The sequence below is a fragment of the Homo sapiens genome, chromosome 2, assembly GCF_000001405.40.
Source record: "Homo sapiens chromosome 2, GRCh38.p14 Primary Assembly".
NCBI lineage: Eukaryota > Metazoa > Chordata > Mammalia > Primates > Hominidae > Homo > Homo sapiens.
Genome location: NC_000002.12, coordinates 206,140,611 through 206,152,820, shown reverse-complemented (window position 1 = coordinate 206,152,820; position 12,210 = coordinate 206,140,611). Strand labels below are relative to the sequence as shown.

Sequence of the window (12,210 nt, the reverse complement as noted above, 5' to 3'; positions counted from 1 at the left end):
AGGCAGGAGAATCGCTTGAACCGGGGAGGTGGAGGTTGTAGTGAGCCAAGATGGCGCCACTGCACTCCAGCCTGGGTGACAGGGCAAGACTCCCTCTCAAAAAAAAAAAAAAAAAAAGAAGAAGAAAGAAGTTTCAGTTTAAACTACTCTGCTATCAAAAGTAGACAACCATAAGTTTGCATCCAGAGCAATACAGAGGAATAATAAGGAATGAAAAATTTTAGGTTTGTAGTTAGAGTCAATTCATCCATTATCATCTGCTATAATAAACTGTTAATCTGTTTTTCGCTTCAATATCTTTGATGGTCAGTTCGAACAACTGCCACAGCAGCAAGCAACTTGATTGAAGTATTTGTTGATGGTCAGTCTGTCATGGTGGAACCGGGAACGACCGTCCTCCAAGTAGGCATACATTCTAACTATTTTGTGTGTGTGTTCTGATTTTTTTAAAAATACTAATTTATTTCCTTTATACTGATTATTAGTAAATAATTCTTTAAAATAACTATACACAGCAAAGTTATATTAAAATTATTTCATTTTAAATCTTGGCACTTCAAAGTGAGCTATCATATATTTGTTTGTGGCATTTTTAGTGAATTATGGTAGTTCTTTTGTTTCACTTTTCATTCCAAATGAATACCCATTAAGAAATTTGAAGTCCGAGCGCAGTGGCTCATGCCTGTAATCCCAGCACTTTGGGAGGCCGAGGCGGGCGGATCATTCAGGAGTTCTAGACCAGCCTGGCCAGCACTGTGAAACCCCTTCTCTACTAAAAATACAAAAAATTAGCTGCGCATCGTGGCGCGCACCTGTAATCCCAGCTACTCGAGAGGCTGAGGCAGGAGAATTGCTTGAACCCAGGAGGCGGAGGTTGCAGTGAGCCGAGATTGTGCCACTGCACTCCAGCCTGGGCAACAGAGCAAGACTCTGTCTCAAAAAAAAAGAAAAGAAATTTGAAGTAACTTAAATTAGTTACTATAGGTAAGTTTGTGAAAAAATAACCTCCATTTGTTGTGGGCCTGCTTAATGCTTTTCATTTTCATATAACCTTTCTGTGGTTAGTAATATTCATAGGAATATATCCTACAAAGCAGGTAAATGGAGGGTAGCATGTGCTTACATTCATGCTCTAAATATTTCTTCATATTCCTCCAGAAATAATAAATTGGTCATAGAGAAGTCATGCTTCACTCCATTTGTAAGTTGTCACAGATCTAAATGTTCTTTGTTCATTTTAGCAGTCATTTCTAGACTATCTGCCAGTCACAGACATGAAAGCACAAAATATGATATAAATGTATGTTCAAGGTACAGTGAAAAGTTGTGGCAGGGATAGGAGGTAGTAGAAAGAGGTATTGGGTGCCTCAGGTCATCCCTGAGGAGGTGTTAAAGGATGAACAGGTGTGTTCATATTGTGAACAAGAACGACATGCTTGCATTTCCTATGGAAAAAGTTAAGGCAGATAGCTTGTCATATTTTGAAAGCTTCAAATAGTTTAATATTGATGAAACATAAGGTATAAGTAGAAGATGAGATCACAGGAAATCAAGTTATTGAGGAAGGGAAGGTCCAGTCATGAAATACAGTATCTGCTATGCAGAAGAGCTTATATTTTGATCCATCAGGAGTTTTGTTGCCTATTTAAACAGGGTGACAGCGACTGTAGAGGATGATCATTTGGAGAATAGCAAGACTGGAATAAGAGACAAGGAAAAAGCATTTTGTATTATTGGGACAGGATACTACAAAAGCCCTAAAATAGATAGTGTCAATGGGAATGAAAACAAGAGAGTAGATTCAAGGGAGAATGAAATGTAGACAGGCCTTCAGGAATGATGAAGACCCGAGGGATTTTTTCCCCCGTCGTACAGAACTTCCCAATATTGCTTTAACAGTGAGAAAAAAAAAACACAAAAGAAGTTTCAGTAGAGCCACAGACAAATAGTTCTTTAGAACTCAAAGAGACCGGAGGAATTCTTGTGGTTTTCTGCATTTGTTAGGTTATTTTGGAGTGTATAGAGGGGAGAGAAATCATTTGAATTTAAGCTGTCTGTGGAACATACACATGCAAATACCTGTAAATCTGAAGCTTGGAGAAGTGGAGGTCTAACATGGCTGCAGATTAAGGTTTGGACATAATCAGCATAAGGAATGTCAGCTAGGATGAAGGCTGGGACACTATCTGTCTTTTTCACTACTATACCTGCATCCTGCACAAAGGAAAGACTCAACACATTTTTGCTAACTAAATAGTTTAAACACTGGAAATTGATGAGATTGCTTTAGAATGAAGGCTGAGGATGAGGAACTAACTCTAGAGGAAATTTGAACATGTTTATAGACTAAAAGGAGGAAGAAATTGCAGAGCAGGGTAGGTGATAATTGGCAGAGCAGGGATAATCCCCCTTACTGGGCAAACAGAAACTGGGAAAACCTTCAGCCACAGTGGGAGGTGAGTCCTGGGTAGCATATAGGAGCCAAAGACAGATAGCCAGCTAGATAATGTGTAGTGAAATCTCTAATCCAAAGGAGGGGAGCGAGGCAAAGAAGAAGTCCAGGTATGAAACCACTGGGGACATTGTGGACAATGGTTCAAAATGGATGTGGGAAGTCAAGTCTTCAGCACAGTGGAAGGATACTTTATCCAGTTTCTTCCACATAAGGTGAAGTCACGCCAAGGATCCTGAGATCCTCTGAGGCAGCTTCAGAGGAGACGGGTTAGAATCAAAGGCAAAGAAAGGGACTGAAATAAGAATGAATTAAGATAGATAGATAGATAGATAGATAGATAGAAGTAATAAGATGCTGTATGTGTGTGTTTCAGCAATAACAGCAGTGAAGTCAGGTTATTCTAATGCTTTTTTTTTTTTTTTTTTTTTTTTTACTTCTAGGCTTGTGAGAAGGTTGGCATGCAGATCCCTCGATTCTGTTATCATGAAAGGTTGTCTGTTGCTGGAAACTGCAGGATGTGCCTTGTTGAAATTGAGAAAGCCCCTAAGGTACTTGATACCTAAAATTCTACACCATGCTGTAGAAGGTAGAAAACTTTAAATCTTGCAGCAAACTTTATTTAGAATCAATATCGTAGTGGAGAACCTAGCCCTCTTTACTTCTATCTATAAATTTAATTCTTTTGTACAATTGATTCTCTTCATTTCAAAACTGGAAACACATAGATAGAAGTGCTTTACAAACACATGTCATATAATTGTAACATATCTAGAAATTAAAGGTGATTTATAGTTGTCAGTATTTCCAAATGGCTGTATAATATATAACCAGGATGTAGAGTTGCCAAGTAGCACATTAAAAGTGCTGACGCCCTGCCATTTTTAGTAGAGAAAAGGGTTGCAGGGAAGAAGTTCACTTTCAGTAGTTTAATTTCATTTTGGTGTATGCAATTTTTTTATTCAATAGTGCCTGCTAATCAAAGCAGTTATTTGGTGTTCTGTTTCAGAGCAGAATAAAAAATTGCATTGACTATTAGAATAAACCTAAAAACCAGGATGTTTTATTTCTGAGATAAATGCAAAGTACTAGATCATCGTATTATGAATATGAAAACTTAACAAAATTCAGTTTTAAAAAATACCCTATTCTTTGCCTGTTATCAAATGTATAATTTAATGTTTTTATATAATTTAACATTTTTATATATTGAGTTGCTTGTAATCACAAATAAATACAAATACACATTTTTTTTTTTCATTGAAATCCCAGGTTGTAGCTGCTTGTGCCATGCCAGTAATGAAGGGTTGGAATATCCTAACAAACTCAGAAAAATCCAAAAAAGCCAGGTACTTTATTGTTATTCAATGTAGTACCCTTTCATAAAGCAGAAAATTGCACATTTTGGTATTTAGACCTTCCCATAGATTAAGAATTTAATATCAAACTCGGAAGAAGTTGGTGTGCTCAGCTTCTAGGAGCAATAGAAGTGAGTACTACATAGTAGAGAAGGTGAAGTCAGGAGTTTATGGTATTGAGCTTTAGGATCAGCATTAAAAATCCTTCTTTAGTAACTTGCTCAACTTGTGAAGAAGGGTGAATCTGGACTTACTAAGCTACTACTATACTATACTGGGATTGATTGTGTTTGTTTTTATTTTGAATTAATGTGAATATTTTCTGAGGACCATTCAGCAACTTTTGATCATTCGGTATTGTTAAAAGTTACAATTTTCTTTATTTTTTGAAACGAGGTCTCACTATGTTGTCCAGGCTGGGCTTGAACTCCTGGCCTCAGGTGATCATCCTGCCTCAGCCTCCCTCCCATAGTTCTGGGATTACAGACGTGAGCCACCAAACCTGACCAAAAATCATAATTTTCTATGTTCTCTAATGATACTTTATTCTAGGCTCCTCTAAGCATTTTCCAGATTGTGTGTTTAATACTACCAGAATGATACTCGGGAGGATCACTTGAGCCCAGGAGCTCGAGTCCAGCCTGGGCAACATAGCAAGACCCCGTCTCTTAAAAAAAATATTACCACAATGATAGATAATTGGCATTTCTGATATTAAATGTAAAATTACTATTAATTGTATAACAAATATACATCTATGAAGGTTGTTTAAATGGCCTATATGTGGGCCTGGCACAGTGGCTCACGCCTGTAATTCTAGCACTTTGGGACGCCAGGGCGGGAGGATCACTTGAGGTCAGGAGTTCGAGACCAGCCTGACCAACATGATGAAACCCTGCCTCTACTAAAAATACAAAAATTAGCCAGGTGTGGTGGTGGGCATCTGTAATCCTAGATACTCGGGAGGCTGAGGCAAGAGAATCGCTTGAACCTGAGAGGTGGAGGCAGGAGGCTGCAGTGAGCCAAGATTGTGCCACTGCACTGCAGCCTGAGCAACAGAGCGAGACACCATCTCAAAAAAAAAAAATAAAGTCTATAGGTCATTTTGAGTGCCAGCAGTTAATGTCAGTGTGTGTGTATTTGAGAGTCATTTTATATGTTACAATTTTCATACAGGGAAGGTGTGATGGAGTTCTTATTAGCAAATCACCCATTGGACTGTCCTATTTGTGACCAGGGAGGTGAATGTGATCTGCAGGTATGTAGTAGAATTCTGTCAATCTTTTTGGTTGTCTCAGATTTTAATTTTATTAGCAGCATGAGATTGACTCTTTCATAATCTACTTAAGGACCAGTCCATGATGTTTGGAAATGATAGGAGCCGATTTTTAGAGGGGAAGCGTGCTGTGGAAGACAAGAACATTGGGCCATTGGTAAAGACCATCATGACAAGATGTATACAGTGTACTCGCTGCATCAGGTAACTTTTTTTCCTTTTTTTTCTATTATAGAATATAATTGTATACTTAATAGTCACAATTTGATGAATAATAACATTGGAAAGAATGGCTACTTTTTTTGGGTGGGAGAAGAGGGATGCTGTTTCTGATATATGAATAAAATAAGTTCACTTTCATTTAGTACCAACTTCAGGTGGATTTAAAAATTAAAATCTATAAGCATTTGCTTTCACTCATAACTTGGTGAGTTGTACACATATGATTTGTACAAGTTTCTGCCTGTGTGTTACACCTCAATTAAATGCAAACATTTCATTATTTTTTATTCTAGGACTGTGCTCACCTTTAAAAATATACTCATTTCTTTTTAGTGTTTGGAAAATCATCTCTTTGTGATCATGAATAAGAAAGGAAATAATTTTGCTGGACTTGACCATTGATGACACATTTTTTATCTTGTAGGTTTGCAAGTGAGATTGCAGGAGTAGATGATTTGGGAACAACAGGCAGAGGAAATGATATGCAAGTTGGCACATACATTGAAAAGATGTTCATGTCTGAACTGTCTGGGAATATCATTGATATCTGCCCTGTAGGTGCCCTAACCTCTAAGCCCTATGCCTTTACTGCCCGGCCTTGGGAAACAAGGTATCTTTTATTTTATGACAATTTGTTTTTTTGTCCTTAATTCATTACTATTCAAAAAAATATTAAGGTTCATTTTCTTCCTGGGTTTCAGTTGTTTTGGTCTGTTGACTTTGTTTGTTTATGTAAAACCCTTTAAATAGAAGGTAAGTAGTTAGAATGGATTGAACCTGTGCAAATTAACTGTAGTTTTCTTGGAAATTAATTCTAAAGTACTCAACCACAAAATTATTTTTTTCATGTGTTCTTCCAAAGAGTTTAATAGTGTTGACATTTTAAATGTATAGTCTCCCATGTTGTTGTTTATTAAGTTTTCAACTATGAGGAATGTCATTTAGCCAGTTTCTGCTAATAGACATTTAGCTTGTATATTTCTTTATGATTACAAATCTGTAAAAAATATTGCTGTTTACACATTTCTGTGTATATCTCTCATTCTCCTGATTAAACCAAGAAATGGAGTAGATAGATGCAAGAGGTGTGATTATTTTTAAGGTTCTTAAAACATAACAAATTATCATCCAATTTTAAACTTTATACTTTTCAACTTGGGATTTGGCTTTTTGTTTCTGTGTAATTTCTGTGTCCTTACTGAGAATCTCTACTTGCTGATTCGTGGTTGTCATACATCCCCTTCAATTTTTAAATATGATTTTCTTTGGTTCTTTCAACATATTTTAATATTCTTGGTTTTATTTTTAAGTGAGGCTTCTTAGGAGTTCCCCTGTGTCTGCATAGTTTAGTAGTCAGGTATAATTGTACTTCAAACACCGTGACCTAATAAGAGTTATGTTCTTTGCCAATGGATCTGTTTGTGGATGGAGGAGCATATTCAAAGTTGAGGCTGTTTTCAAGTTTGCCCAGCTATTACTTTGCACTGGGCCCTTTGGGTCTCAGAGTTATCCAGGAGTTTATGAATAGGTTGAGCTTTCTCTGGTTTCACCTGCACATGTAGCAGCCTCTGTTAGGAATGCTTGCCGCAATTACCACTACAAACTTAGGCTGGTAAAATCTTGGCTATCCTCAGCTACGATGACCTCCAAAGTATCACCTCCACAAACAAGTTTGCCTCGTGCTCCAAGTTAAGTGAGTTGTCTCCATCTGTACCAAAGAAGTTCTCATCTTCACAGCCTGCCCCGGCCTCGAAGAAATTCCATTTTGAGGGGGTGGAGAGGAGCATAGGAGGAGCACTGAGCCCAGCCACCAGTTTTTCAGTGCATAAAAGCTTCCCACATTGTATGTGTTTAGATTTCTAAACTGCTGAAATGGTGGGTTTTGTCATTTTTGGCCAGCTTTACTTTTGCTTTTCAGTGGGAAGGTTTTTTGAGCTCCTTAATCTCCCATAGACAGAAATCCTGCCCCTCTTGTTGAATCGTCCCAGATTTGGCTAGTTGGAGCCCCTTCAAACTAGCTTCTGTGTCAGATAATAGTTTTAAAGCCTTCCTTACTGTGCCAGGAATTTATGTGTTCAAATGTGGGTGTGCCGGGAGCAGTGGCTCACACCTATAATCCCAGCTTTTAGGAGGCCAAGGTGGGAGGATTGCTTGAGACCAGTAGTTCAAGACCAGCCTGGTCAGCATAATGAGACACCGGCTCTACAAAAAATTTTTAAAATGTGGTGAGAGGATAGTTTGAGCCCAGGAGTTCTAGGCTGCAGTGAATTATGATCATGCCACTGTAGCCTGGGCAACAGAGTGAGACCCCAGGGCAAAAAAAAAGGTGGGGGGTTCTTTTATTTAATTGCAGTTCCTCTAAGCTTCATTTTTTAAAGTAATTCAGAAAGGGAATTAATTGTAAAAAAAATTTTTTGGTAAACCAGGTAACAGAAACTTTCTTTATTCCCAAAAGCACCATAGTAAACACCGTATGTGTTTCTCAGAAAGACAGAATCCATTGATGTAATGGATGCGGTTGGAAGTAATATTGTGGTTAGCACAAGAACTGGAGAAGTGATGAGGATTTTGCCACGTATGCATGAGGACATCAATGAAGAGTGGATCTCTGATAAAACCAGGTATATGCTATATTGTTTTCCTTAACTTTTACAGTTTATTTAAAGGAAATTTTATAATAATTTTGAAGAATTATCTTTTATATTTGCAAATTAGTTACTGAATATAGACTACTGGAATCTGAGTTGCTTATATAATGTGATAATACTGACTTTAATAGTCCTAGGTCAATCCCTGGATATTGTATTTACTTTGAGAAAGATATTTTTTCCTCCCACATGGAGAAATTCAAGTAGATTGATACATTCTCAACTTATTTCAGTTTGTTCATTAGAGAAAAGAAGCTAGGCTGGGCGCAGTGACTCACACCTGTAATCCCAGCACTTTGGAAGGCCGAGGTGGGATGATTGCTTGAAAAAGAAGCTGAATAGAAGAGTTTGCACAATATAATTTTGATAAAATATTTAGAGATACTCATGCTTTGTAAATAAAAATGATTTGACTTTTTTAGCTGTCAGATTTTTTTGTGTTGTAATTTTAAGATTGTTCAGTTAGCTGAAAGTATAAGAAATCAAACTTTTTTTTGTATGATTTAAGGGAAGAAATCAAACTTTCAGATGGTATTTTAGTTTTAGGTGAAGTTCATAAAATCTATTAGTTCATCTCTAAAAATATCTGGAATAATTACTTGTATCTAGGTGTTTAGATATTTGACACTTTAACCAGTACTGTATTTAAATAACATTTCTTGTTGATTTAACTTGAAAATTATAGTTACTTCTTTAGCAAGATTCCACAATGGTGTAATTTCTGTTTTCTAGATTTGCCTATGATGGGCTAAAACGTCAAAGACTTACCGAGCCAATGGTCAGAAATGAAAAAGGGCTTTTAACCTATACTTCTTGGGAGGATGCGCTCTCTCGCGTAGCTGGAATGGTAAAATTTGAAATAAATAGTGTTAAATAGTGTTTGTGATTATCAAGAAACATCTTTGCCATGAAGGGGGGGATGTATATTTCTTCCCTTTTTTACTTTTACCAAGATTATGATTTAATCTCCTTCCATTTTACAGACATCTACTGAGGACATATGCTAGATATTATGCTATTAAGGGATATAAAGACCAGAGACACATCATTCCTGCATCCTACAATCTTGTAGTAGAGAAAGTTGCACAATTCAGCAATTATTATATGCAGCTATGAGTAATTATATAAGGAGTAATATGAGTGAGAGCACGTAGGAGGAATGCCTAACTAGGACAGGCATATCAAGATGCCTTCCTTGGAGGTTGCAGTGAGCCGAGATCGCACCACTGCACTCCAGTCTGGGTGACACAGCGAGACTCCATCTCAAAAAAAAAAAAAGCTGCCTTCCTACAGAAGGTGATTCTTAAAGAAGAATCTGAGAATGAATATAAGCTTGCCAGAGTACAAGTGGAGGGAATAGTTTTCTTGTTAGAGAAAGACAACATAAAGCACTAGAGGGAAAGGCAGATACTTCAGAGGAGGTCGCATTTAAGGTAACTATAGTTCCACTTCATTCTCCAGACCTCATTTTGAAGTGCCTTTGTTCCTAAATATAAAACAGCTTCCTTCTAAGTTGATGTTATTAGCTGTGGCCCCACATAACACCTCTGCAGCTTTTCACTTTTAGATTAATTAATAATTGTTGTACAACTTTTTTTGTGTTTTTGAGATGGAGTTTTGCTGTTGTCGCCCAGGCTGGAGTGCGGTGGCGCGATCTCGATCTCGGGTCACTGCAGCCTCTGCCTCCTTGGTTCAAGCAGTTCTCCTGCCTCATCCTCCCGAGCAGCTGGGGATACAGGCGTATGCCACCATGCCCAGCTGATTTTTGTATTATTAGTAGAGATGGGATTTCACCATGTTGGCTAGGCTGGTCTTAAAGTCCTGACTGCAGGTGATCCGCCCACTTCTGCCTCCCAAAGTACTGGGATTACAGGCATGAGCCAGTGTGCCTGGGCATGTTGTAAAACTTTTAATCAGAAGTCTGTTAACTTTTTTTGTACTTGAAAACAAGTACTGTTTTATTTTCTGAACATTTCATTGTGGTCTTTGCTGCGTGTAGGTTTCTTGGTGATGCCCTTTTCATCTGTTTCTAGTTGCAGAGTTTTCAAGGCAAAGATGTGGCAGCAATTGCAGGTGGCTTGGTGGATGCTGAAGCCCTGGTAGCTCTCAAAGATTTGCTTAATAGAGTGGACTCTGACACCTTATGCACTGAAGAGGTCTTCCCCACTGCAGGAGCTGGGTGAGAAATATGAAGCTAGGATCTAGGCTTTCCTTTCTTTTTTTAGTTACAAGTTATGTATAAAATGTGACAACCTGGATTCTCCAACATATCCCCCAGTTTATTTTCATATATAGACCAAGATCAAACCAGAAGTTGTAGGAAATAGAGGAATCCACTTATCACTAAGTATCTCAGGCACAGTGGCTCACGCCTGTAATCCCAGCACTCTGGGAGGCCAAGGCAGGCAGATCGCCTAAGTGCAGGAGTTTGAGACCAGCCTGGCCAACATGGCGAAACCCCGTCTCTACTAAAAATACAAAAAAATTAGCCAGACGTGGTGGTGTGCGCCTGTAATTCCAGCTACTTGGGAGGCTGAGGCAGGAGAATTGCTTGAACCTGGGAGGTGGAGGTTGCAGTGAGCCAGGATCACGCCACTGCATTCCAGCGTGGGAGACAGAGTGAGACTCTATCTGAGAAAAAAAATAAGTATCTGAAATGTTCATTTAATTTAGAAATACTTCATAAAATTTTTTGTTTGAGAAGGCAATGGGTTTGATGATAGGAGAATATTTCATGGATTCTCTGTATGTCTTAATTTTAAAGTAAATTTGCATTTTATATATTGTATTTCTAGCACAGATTTGCGTTCCAATTATCTTCTTAATACTACAATTGCTGGTGTGGAAGAGGCAGATGTTGTTCTTCTGGTTGGTACAAACCCACGTTTTGAGGCACCACTGTTTAATGCTAGAATTCGAAAGAGGTTGGTAATAGTATTTATTCAAGGTTTAAAAATATTTATGTAATTTTTTTGTTTTATATGTGAAAAATGGCATCTTCCTAATAGTGTTAGTGGTAGTGAGACTCCAAAAGATAACTGGAAGACAATTTTTTTTTTTTTTTTTGGTGGGACGGAGTCTCACTCTGTCACCCAGGCTGGAGTGCAGTGGCAGGATCTCGGCTCTGCAAGCTCCGCCTCGAGATGGGGTTTCACCATGTTAGCCAGGATGGTCTCGATTTCCTGACCTCGTGATCCGCCCGCCTCAGCCTCCCAAAGTGCTGGGATTTCAGGTGTGAGCCACTGCACCGAGCCTTTTTTTTTTTTTAATTTTTTTAATTTTTTAGATTTTTAAAAAATTATTTTTATTTTTATTTTTTATTTTTTTGTCTTTGAGACAGAGTCTCGCTTTGTCGCCCAGGCTGGATTGCAGTGGTGCGATCTCGGCTCACTTCAAGCTCCGCCTCCCGGGTTCACGCCATTCTCCTGCCTCAGCCTCCCGAGTAGCTGGGACTACAGGCGCCCGCCCCTGCACCCAGCTTATTTTTTGTATTTTTAGTAGAGACGGGGTTTCACCGTGGTCTCGATCTCCTGACCTTGTGATCCGCCCGCCTCAGCCTCCCAAAGTGCTGGGATTACAGGTGTGAGCCACCGCGCCCGGCCTTTTTAATTTTTTAGAGATGGAGCCTTGCCATGTTGCCAGGCTAGTCTCGAGCTCCTGGGTTCAGGCCATCCTCCCACCTTGGCCTCCCAAAGTACTGGGATTACAGGCATGAACTGCCACGCCCAGTTGCAACAATTTCTAATAGGTCCGTTTTCTCCTCTCCTTGCGAGTCTTTTAAATTTACTTTATTAGCTTTTTATTTTGAAATAATTCAAGATGCTTGAAATGGTCTTTGTATACCATTTTGTATATTGTTCACATAGATTAACTGATGTTAACATCTTGCCATATTTGTATTATGATTCTCAGTGTGTGTGTATATATATATATATATATATACACACTACATATATATGTGTGTGTGAATCTAATTTTCTGAATCATTTGGAAGTTTCTGGTGGACATGGTGCCCTTTTATACCTAAATTCTCAGCGTGGATTTCCTGAGAACAAGGAGCATTCTCTTAAATAATGAAGAAATTTAGGCTGGGCGTGGTGGCTCACGCTTGTAGTCCCAGTACTTTGGGAGGCTGAGGCAGGTGGATCACCTGAGGTCAGGAGTTTGAGACCAGCCTGACCAACATGGAGAAACCCATCTCTACTAAAAATACAAAATTAGCCGGGCATGGTGGCGCATGCCTGTAATCCCAGC

At 38.6% G+C, this 12,210-nt stretch overlaps 1 protein-coding gene across 5 annotated transcripts in view; it reads left to right on the top strand.

Annotated features, from left to right (window-relative positions):
• The window catches only part of NDUFS1 (NADH:ubiquinone oxidoreductase core subunit S1), a 44,628-nt gene that overhangs the window by 6,624 nt on the left and 25,794 nt on the right, over positions 1-12,210 (top strand). For 2 of the 5 annotated variants that reach the window (NM_005006.7, NM_001199984.2), the window contains exons 3-12: positions 311-402; positions 2,896-3,003; positions 3,725-3,801; positions 4,987-5,068; positions 5,160-5,290; positions 5,733-5,918; positions 7,795-7,929; positions 8,689-8,803; positions 9,990-10,135; positions 10,752-10,880. In NM_005006.7, coding sequence (NP_004997.4) covers positions 311-402; positions 2,896-3,003; positions 3,725-3,801; positions 4,987-5,068; positions 5,160-5,290; positions 5,733-5,918; positions 7,795-7,929; positions 8,689-8,803; positions 9,990-10,135; positions 10,752-10,880 — 1,201 coding nt within the window. The remainder of the gene's footprint in view (positions 1-310; positions 403-2,895; positions 3,004-3,724; positions 3,802-4,986; positions 5,069-5,159; positions 5,291-5,732; positions 5,919-7,794; positions 7,930-8,688; positions 8,804-9,989; positions 10,136-10,751; positions 10,881-12,210) is intronic. The other 3 variants (NM_001199983.2, NM_001199981.2, NM_001199982.2) reach the window with 3 other exon arrangements.